Source organism: Homo sapiens, chromosome 8, assembly GCF_000001405.40.
Source record: "Homo sapiens chromosome 8, GRCh38.p14 Primary Assembly".
Taxonomy (NCBI): domain Eukaryota; kingdom Metazoa; phylum Chordata; class Mammalia; order Primates; family Hominidae; genus Homo; species Homo sapiens.
Genome location: NC_000008.11, coordinates 59,253,512 through 59,264,210, shown reverse-complemented (window position 1 = coordinate 59,264,210; position 10,699 = coordinate 59,253,512). Strand labels below are relative to the sequence as shown.

The 10,699-nt window shown below is 35.6% G+C and overlaps 1 annotated feature.

The window, feature by feature from the left end:
* Positions 3,266–3,315: an enhancer, noted in NCBI's record as "active region_27416". NCBI's record gives its function as "activates an Ori minimal core promoter by ATAC-STARR-seq in GM12878 lymphoblastoid cells {active_cell/tissue: GM12878}" and the evidence as "EXISTENCE:reporter gene assay evidence [ECO:0000049][PMID:35858748]".

The following is a 10,699-nucleotide window of genomic DNA, read 5'->3' as shown; positions in this document are numbered from 1 at the left end:
GGAAGTAAAAAAAGAAATTCATCTTGTAACGAAATGGTAGGTTCAATAATTTGAAAGGAAACAGTGGCTGAAGAAATGAGCTCAGCCACATTACAGCATGAGGTTCCCTCTGACCCACCCACACCCACCACAAACACTCATTTTCTGAAGGGCAAGATTGTCTCAGGTCTTATCGGCACTAACTGCATTACGAAGGCACACAGAATACAATCACATCTCTCCCCTTCATAATGTAGATGTTGTCTTTTTAAAGCAAGCTTGATTATATTCTGAATAGGTCAGTCTGTGTGCCTGACATTTCTCCTCAGTTTCCTGTGACCTTTTAATAAGAATGACTTGGTTTTGCACTGCAGAAAATGGAACTGTCCCTTTTCAATCAGTGAATATGAGAAGCACAGTGTGAACATATCACATTTTCTGTACTGCATTATTACTCATACGACAACAAAGTCCATGAAACCCTATCTTTCTTCAAAAGCATGTGTCCTATTTGGCTTTAATTTTGCCTTCTTCTGCTGCTCATTCACCTACATTTGTAAATATTTAAACCAATGTGCAGTCACATTTGCTCAGAGAAAGTAACAAATTAATAAATTCTCTGTTGAACAAATCTGACTTTTATAATGTATGCTTAAACAGATATCATCTTTGAATAGTATGGCAGAGAATTATTAACATGGACCTTCCATGGTTATAGAAAGACAATTATCAACAGTAATCCAATTTCTAACATTTCAGAATTGTTGCTCTTAAGTTTCAGTGACAGAGGATTCAACCAGACAGATCATCAGTGCTCAGACAAACACAAGAACGGTCTCCAGCCTGCCTATGCGATGCTGTAACTGCAACGTCACGGGGCCCAGCCTCCCGACTCTTCACAGGAATACTGGTAAGTCTGTGAAACTCACAATAGGTAGCCCTTATGCACAACCCTAGAAATGCAGGGTCACACTGCTGAATTCACATGTGCTGGAAAGGAATGTGTACAAGTTTTATTCCCACAACTGAACTGGGTTTCCTAATGCAGAAATTACATGTGACCAATTACACAAAGGTAAGCACAGAAATGGTAACTAACCTGGTGTGATATGAGCAGGAGCACCAACCATTAAAGGACACCTGAGAAGTTGAACTGGGAAGTGAAACAGAAATATATATTTAGCACTCATGGCAGCAAGACACGTGGGAGACACTGAGCCGTACACTCAAGAATTCTGCAAGGATGACCTCTGTCCTTGCAGAGGTAGAAAGGAATCAGACCTTCAATAACTAAGGACCCTAAGAAGAATATAATTGCAAGGTGAGGTATGCGATATAAAGAACATAACTAGAATGCATTGGTAGAGACAAATGAATTTAGATAGGAGTTGACAAACTTGCTATAATAGGCAAGACAGTGAATATTTGGGAGTTTGGAGACCACATTTCATGTCTACTGCATATTTTTTCTACAACTCTTTAGAAGCATAGAAATGATTTTTACTTAGTTCAAGGGTCTTACAAAAACAAGGCAAAGGCCAAAACCAGTTTGTGGGCCATAGTTTGCCAACCCCTAATGACAAAAGAGGAAGATAAGAACCGGAGAACAATTATGCACAAAAGCTCCAAGGTGCAAAATCAAAGCCAGTCCAGGTGATGTGTTCACCTCGGAAAGGAGGAGAGAGGGAGGGAGCCGAGGCTGGGTGCTGGGGAGGTGCGTGTGCTGGGCTTCACTGGTGCCAGTGAGGGATATAAACATCATTCTAAAGGCAGAGAGCCACTGAATAGTTTTGAGCAAGGGAAATAATTTAATCCAATTTATGTTGTTAAAAGGCCAGTTTCCCTCCTGTGTACAAAATTAGCATGAGTTTTATATAGAGAGTGACGCCCAGAAGGTGCCACTGGTGAGAGGGAAATCAGGAGAGGGCGAGCAGGCAGGATGGAGTGGTGCGGGCTGAGAACAGGAGATGGATGAGCGCCTGTTCCTTCCTTCGCGAGGCTCTGTCGTGCCTCCTCCCTGCATGCAGGCTAAAGGTATCTTCCATCTGGCTGCTTCTAAGGCTCTTCTAGTAGGGTTATTGCTCCTGGACATTATTTTGTATTCTTTTAATTTCCAAGAACCCAATTTTGAGCTTAAAAAATATTCATTTTCTCTAATGTGGTTGTTCAATCAACAATATTTTTTAAAGTATGAATGCGTCTACTTAGAGGAAACTCTTCAGGGATTTTCTGGCTGAAAATGGGGATGGAAGAACAAAAACAAGTACCTGGAGCCAAGGAGAAAGGCTGTAGTATAAAAGGGTCGGCAGGAAAGAGTTATGAGATCATAGGTGTCCTCCTTTTCCCCATGTTTTCCCCTCTTCTAGAAAGGGGAGTAAACTTAATTCGATGTGCTTGGACATAGAGGGCACGGAAATCAATTGTTTACTTTCTCCAGGATGTGATTCACCTTTTCTAGTCTCACACATTCCCTGCCTCGTCCGGAGACTTAGCACGCTCCTGCCAAAGTCCCCCCTCCTATAAAATTGCCCTCAGGACTCACCTTTTTTGCGATGCTTCCACAGGAAAAAAGAAACCCTTGCCTGCTTTATCTGGTGATTGCATATGTGCGCATATGTGCTCGGGACCTCCTGGATTCAGACTTTCTTCTTGGCTCCGGGTACTTGTTTCTGTTCTTCAAACCCCATTCTCAGCCAGGAGCACTCACACATTCCAGGACAACGTCTACTTAATGAAGTTTTCCCGAAAAGGGTTGCCCAAGGTGATACTAAGGAGAGTATCAGAAGTAGGGTCAGCCACATAAAAACAAACACTACCAATGTGATATAACTCAAATATCACAAAGGGAAAACTTCCCAAAATGTGTCCCCTAATCACCTATTAAGGGCTTCAGAAATTCCCACCACTTCTTTAGGTCAAGCCAACAATTTTTAAAGTATCTTACACAGAATACTATTCTCCTAAAAGGCTCTATTTAAAAAAATAAAACCAGCTAGATGTGGTCAAATATATTTGGGGTATCTTATATGTTAACTTTGTCTCTTGGAAACCAGTGAAGCAGATTAACACGTTAAAGACTCTGACCCTCTTAAAGTTGACACAGACCAACTGTTTGCAGTTCTTTGACCACAGAGTCTATTTTTCTTCTAACACAGACTAGTTCCTCAAAACACTTTGGGCAATGCTAACTTCAGGTGCTTCCCCCAGCAGGTCTAGCATAGAGAGTTGTGGGGAGAAAGCAGCCATTTCTTGAGTGGTGTGACTCATTAACACTCAACCCCATGTCAAATTAGCTCCTTGCACAAAGAAGGTAACTCGGGATTGGGGATGGGGGAAGCAGAACAGCGTGCCCAGCCTTGGGCCATTTCCTGGGAAGGGTTGGCAGAGCCATTCGAGAGTCAGCTCATGGCCATGCCCATATAAAGCCCAATCCCTCACCACTAGGCATTGTTGGAAAGTGAATGGGCTGCAGAGCAAGACACAACTCATGGCAGAATGGGTGTCTCAGCGTCAAAGAACAGGCTCTTTGCCTCAGACAGGGTTGAATTAAAATCCAGGCCTTTTTTTTTCTTTTTCCAGCTGTGTGGGTTGCCCAGTAAGTTCTGGATTCTTCAGCTGTAAAATGGGGTTAATGATATTAATGTAGGATTGGTGAAAGCATAAAGTTAATTTTCTCAAAGTAACTAATATATTATGATGAATAGGAAAGACTATATAAATGGAATATCTGAGAGAACTTTAGAAAGTGGTTTCAAGGACTATACTTAAATTTAGTCACAATTATCACTTTTCATCTCAGATTCAAATCTTCCCTCGTGCAAATTTAAATCAAGTATTAATTTTCTTCAATTATATTCTAACCTAAATATATGTTTAGCTCATATACCTTATTTTCATTATGATAGGAAAATATCTAATGATGCATAATTTTAGAGAAATAAATAACAATTACTGATGGAACTAAAAATGATGAACTTCTGGTCCAATGATACATGGGTGGGTACTGGCTTATGTTAATTTCAAAATTATGTATGCATTTCTTAAACATAAGGCTTTTCCATTAGACGTACCTCCTAATTAGTTTTGTTTTACTTGTATATTTATTTCATCAGTAGGCAAAGGATGATTTTTTTTTATATCAACTTAGCCTTAAGATAGAAAGTGACTCAGTTTGGGCAAGGAAGAAATAAAATGCCTGGTGGATAGTCACCAGAATTCTGCAGCTGCCCAAAATACTCTTAAAAATCAGCTGTGCTTACCATCTTTAATTTTGACGGTGAAATGTTTTTGGCCCAGATAACACAGTATTTGCTACACAAAAGCAAATCAAAACACATCTACCCATGTAAATGTCATGAAGGAAGGCAAATTATACGGAGGTGTTTTGTTCATATGTCTAACTACAGGCAGCTTAAATTGAAAAGAATCTCATTATCTCAGGCCTACCATATGTATATGTGCATATAAGTAGAAGGAAAACAAACTCAAAATATAGCCTCAGCTGGTAGGATTGTGAGAACCAGTCCAAGCACTCTAAATGAAATGTTGCATATTAGATTTAATCTTTCTGACACACATACTCCAGCAACCTTCAGGTCAAGAGAGGATAAGGGCACTGGCATTTTTTACACTCACAATTTATTAAAAATTAAAGAAATCTCAAAACAATATTACAAAAGTTGTAGTATAATTTAAACGTTTCCACTTAACAAATTAACATTTTAACTTAAAAATCCAATGCCATATAAATGTGCTTTTCATGCGATAATTATAAAAAAAATTACTGCAAATGGGGTGTCTAGTAATAGGAAAAGAGAATAAAGCTCTATGATTAACATTTTCTTTCATTTATGTCAGAGTTTCTCTGTAATAATGTGTACACCATCACTTGGTAATAACATCAAATATCCAAATGTAACGCATTTGAACAAGCAAAAAAAAAACGACCCCATTAAAAAATGGGCAAAAGACATGAACAGACACTTCTCAAAAGAAGACATTCAAGCAGCCAACAAACATGAAAAAATTCTCATCATTAATTATCAGAGAAATGCAATAAAAACCATCATGAGATACCACCTCACACCAGTCAGGATGGCTGTTATTAAAAAGTGAAAAAACAATAGATGTCAGTGAGGTTGTGGAGAAAAAGAAACACTTATACACTGTTAGTGGAAATGTAAGTTAGTTCAGCCACTGTAGAAAGCATTTTGGAGATTTCTCACAGAACTTAAAACAGAACTATCATTTGACCCAGCAATCCCATTACTGGGTATATGTCCAAAAGAAAACAAATAACTCTACCAAAAAGACACATTCACTAGTATGTTCATTGTAACACTACTCACAATAGCAAAGAAAATCTAGGTGCCCATCAACAGTGGATTGGATAAAGAAAATATGGTACATATACACCAATGAATACTATGCAGCCATTAAAAAAAACAAAATCCTGTCTTCTGCAGCAACATGGATGCAGCTGGCAGCCATTATCCTAAGCAAATTAATGCAGGAACGGAAAACCAAATACTGCATGTTAGATACTCATGGACATAAAAATGAGAGCAATAAACACTAAGGACTATGGGGGGGTGTATGGATGGAGAGAAGCAAGGGTTTAAAAAATAACTGTTGGGGACATATGCAAAAATACTCATCATCGCTTGTCATTAGAGAAATGCAAATCAAAACCACAATGAGATTTCATCTCACGCCAGTTAGAATGGCGATCATTAAAAAGTCAGGAAACAACAGATGCTGGAGAGGATGTGGAGAAATAGGAAAGCTTTTACATTGTTGGTGGGAGTGTAAATTAGTTCAACCATTGTGGAAGACAGTGTGGCGATTCCTCAAGGATCTAGAACTAGAAATACCATTTGACCCAGCAATTCCATTATTGGGTATATACCCAAAGGATTATAAATCATTCTACTATAAAGATACATGCACATGTGTGTTTATTGTGGCACTATTCACAATAGCAAAGACTTGGAACCAACCCAAATGTCCATCAGTAATAGAACGGATAAAGAAAATATGGCACATATAGACCATGGAATACTGTGCAGCCATGTAAAAGGATGAGTTAATGTCCTTTGCAGGGACATGGATGAAGCTGGAAACCATCATTCTCGGCAAACTGTCACAAGGACAGAAAACCAAACATGGCATGTTCTCACTCATAAGTGGGAGCTAAACAATGAGAACACATGGACACAGAGAGGGGAACATCACACACTGGGGCCTGTTGGGGAGTGGGGGTCTGGGGGAGGGATAGCATTAGGAGAAACACCTAATGTAAATGATGAGTTGACAGGTGCAGCAAACCAACATGGCACATGTATACCTATGTAACAAACTTGCATGCTGTGCACATGTACCCCGGAACTTAAATTATCATTAAAAAATAAATAAGTAAATAAATAAAATAACTGTTGGCTACTATGCTCAGTACCTCAGTGATGACATCATTCATACCCCAAACCTGAGCATCACACCATATACCCAGGTAACAAAGTTGCACATGTACCCTCTGATTGTAAAATAAAAGTTGAAAAGAAAAAAAATATAAAACCAAATGTAAGACCATTGTGAGTATGACGATCAGGCAAACATGTCCTCATCATCACCCACCAATGACAAGCCAGGTTGCCAACAAAACTCTTCCATTTATTGATAATGTCCTAAAGAAGAAACTTAAGGATGTCATCTAAATTCACAATTGGAATTAATATTAGATATAACCTAATTCCATACGATTTAATGACAGATGAGAAAACTGAGACTCAGGAAGACTAAATGACTTGCACATAGCACACAGTTTATAAAATCCTCATTAAGACCAAGAACTAGGTTCCTTGAGCAAATTACCAAAATATTTTTATTATATCTAATTTTAAAACACATACCTAGGACCTGGATCTATTTGGTATCATGAAGGGAATGGGAAAAAAATCTCATTTGATAATTGATATATTCCTAAAATAATTTAATAAATGATTAACATTGAATACAGAATATGCTGTGCACTTACATTTATTCTTAAATGATAACCATGTACATGCTATTCTAATCAAAGAAACTAGATAAACAAGTATAATACAGTTGGATAAAAAGATATATATATGGAATCTTTCTAATAAATGCATAAAAGTTATACCAAAAAAGTCATAAATAATTAACTTTAGAAGAGGGTTTTGTTATATACAAAAACAATGAAAGAGAAATTTTACTTCTCATTTTATTATTGTCTTTTCTGTTTTATTTTTGTAAACATGGTTGTCTAACTTTTATTTTATAAAAAAAGTAGCCAAGCTCTGAGGCTGCGGAAATAACCACCTGAAAGAATTAGAGAAAACAGTACCCAGCCGCACTCACATGACACAGGGAATGGAACCTGTCTGACCAAATACTCATAATTCTTGTGGAACTGGGTAAAGTACACAGGAAGTGGTAGAAAAGCTTCAGTAGAGGAAAGTAATTAACACTAGTCTAGGACTCTCCTAATCTTAAAAGCAAGGCCTGAAGGGTCAAGCTATTTTTAAGTAACTTAACATTGACTGAGAATCAAGCAAAAGCATATTTATAAATTGTTCTTCTACCCAGAATGATAAAATTCATAATGTCTGTTATCCAATTAAGTTACCAGACATGCAAACAAGCAGGAAAATATATCCTCTAATGAGGAGAAAATTAACTATTTTTTAAAAATGACATAAATGTTAGGATTAGCAACCAAGTACATTAAAACAATTAACGTAACTGCACTCCAAATGTTCCAAACATTAAGCAGAGACATGAAAGATCCGAAAAAGAACTAAATTAAATTTCAAGAGATGAAAACTTGAGTGTCCTGGATGAAAACTATATCGGATAAGATTAATGGCAGAGTAGACATTGCAGAAATTATTATTGACCTTAATAACCTAGCAATATAAACAATTCAAAATTAAATATATAGAGAAAGAATTTTTAAAGCTGAATAAATATATGAGCTTTAGGTCACAACAAAGTGGCCTAATATACAAGTATTTGCAGTCTCGATAAGGGAGAGAGAGCATTATACAAAAGAAGTTGGAATGGTCAGGGATTTTTTAAATATGGTGATAGCTATAAACGTGCAGATCCAAGAAAATCAATGTATTCAAACACAAGAAACATGAAGAAAATGACACCAGGGCAACTCATAAACTGCTCAAAACTAGTGATAAAGAGGAAAATCTTTTAAGGGGGCCAGAATAAAAGACAGGTTACACACCAAGAAAGAGGATGAGGATGACAGTAGGTTTCTCATGCAAACAAGGAAAACAAGAAAAAGTTACACAACTTATTTAGAGTAGTGAAAAAAAAAATCCCAATGTACAGTTTTATACCCAGCAAAAGATCTTTCCAAAACAAACAAAATGTAAAAGTGTTTAGAACAAAGCTATACTACAAGAAATATCAAAGTCTTCCAAGAAGAAGGAAAATTGTATCAGATGGAGAGGGTATGGATCTACAGAAAAAATGAAAACAACAGAAATGCTAATTATTTGGATAAATATGTAAGATTTTCAAAAATACATTTTTAAAAATAACTGACTGCTAAAACAAAAATAATATGAGTATAGTGTGGGGCTTAAATATTTGAGAAAGTAGAAGGTATGACAACAATAGTAGAAGTGCCTGGAGGGAACAAATGAGTGGCTCCTGCACTATACATGATGTGTTCAATATAATTTGGAGGTACAGTGTGCAAAGTTAAAGATAGACACGTTGAGCATTTCATATCCAAAAGTCCAGAACTTGAAATCCTCCAAAATTCAGAATTTTTAAGTGCCAACATGATGCTCAAATAAAATGCTCATTAAAACACTCTGGATTTCAGATTTTCAGACTTGGAATGCACAACCAGTAAGTATAACTAATGCAAATATTCCAAAATTTGAAAAAATTTGAAATCCAAAACACTTCTATTTCCAAGCATTTCAGATAAGGTATGCTCCACCTGTATATTTTAGAAAAACATACTAAAATAACAAAACAACAAATTGTGGCCAATAAGCCAACAATAACAATTAAAAAATCATAAAAGATACCCAAAAGAAAGAAGAAAATAAAGGAAAGGGTAGCAAAGAATAGATGAAACAACTGGAAAGTGAATGGCATGATAATATACTTAAGTCTAACCATAAATTCAAACTAAACATGCCAATTCAAAGGCAAATGTCAGATTGGATAGAAAACAAAGATTTGACTATATGCCACATCAAAGGAACACAATTCAAACATAAAGATGCCAATAGGTTTAAAATTAAAGAAATAAAAGATGGAAAGGGAAACTGATGGAAAGGGAAACACTAATCAAAAGAAAGCTGAAGTGGCCATATTAACATCAAAGAAGACTTCAAAATGAAGAATATTGTCATAGATAAAGGTCATTTCATAATAATAATAAAGTACATTCATCAAGATTGCATAACAACTCTAAATGTGTATGTACTTAAGACAGAATTTCAAAGTATATGATGAAAAAAAAAAAGAACTGCAAGGTGGAATAGAAATGTCCACTATAACAGTCAGAGATTTCAAAACCCTATTTTCAATATCTGATAATACATGTAGATGGAAAATCTGTAAGGCTTTTACAAAAGACTTGAACAATACTATCCATCAATTTGATCTGGTTGATATTTATAGAACACTCTAAGCAAAAATAGCAGAATATGCATTTATTTAAAATACACACAAAATACTTACCAACATAAACAATATTTGGTAATTAAAAAGTTTTCATATATTTTAAATACAAAGTATTTTCTTTGCCCACAATAGAATTCAATTAGAAATCAATAACAGAAAGATCTCTGAAAAAATCCTCCATATTTGGAAACTAACACTGTTAAATAACACTTACATCAAAGAAAAAAATCAAAAGGGAAAGACAACGTAGAGTGAATTGAATGAAAATGAAAGCACATATATTAAAATAAGTAGAATACTGCTAAAGCAGTACTTATAGAAAATTTGTAATATTAAATGCATATGTTACAAAATAATAAAGGTTTAAATCAATTACTTCAATTTCTACATTAAGAAATTTGGAAAAAAAAAAGCAAAGTAAGCAAAAGAAAGAAAATGGTAAAAATGAAAACAAAAGTCAGCTGGGCATTGTAGTACATGCCTTTAGTCCAAGCTACTCAGGAGGCTGAGGCAGGAGGATTATTCAAGCTCTGGAGTTTGAGGCCAGCCTAGACAACATAGTGAGACCTCTCCACAAAAACAAAGACAAAGAAATCAATGCAATAAAAAATAGAAAAATACTAGAGAAAACCAATGAAACCAAAACCTCTTTTATTGAGAAGATTTATAAAAGTGATGTATTTTAACCAGACTAATCAGGAAAAAAAAGAGAGAATAAAAAAACTACTAATAATAACAATGAAAGAAGCATCATCCGTACAGATTCTATAGCTAATAGTAAGATAATAAGGACATATCATGGACAACTTTATGCCAAGTAATTTGATAACTTAGATAAAATGAAAAAATTCCTTGTAAGATAAAAACTACCAAACCTCACTCAGAAAGAAATACATAGCCTGAATAAGCCTATTTCTATTGAAGAAATTTAATTTTCACTTAAAAACTATCCCACAAAGATAACTCTAGGTCTAAATGGGTTCACTGGTGAATTCTACCACAGCCTTAAGGAAGAAATAATACTGGTTTTAAACAAATT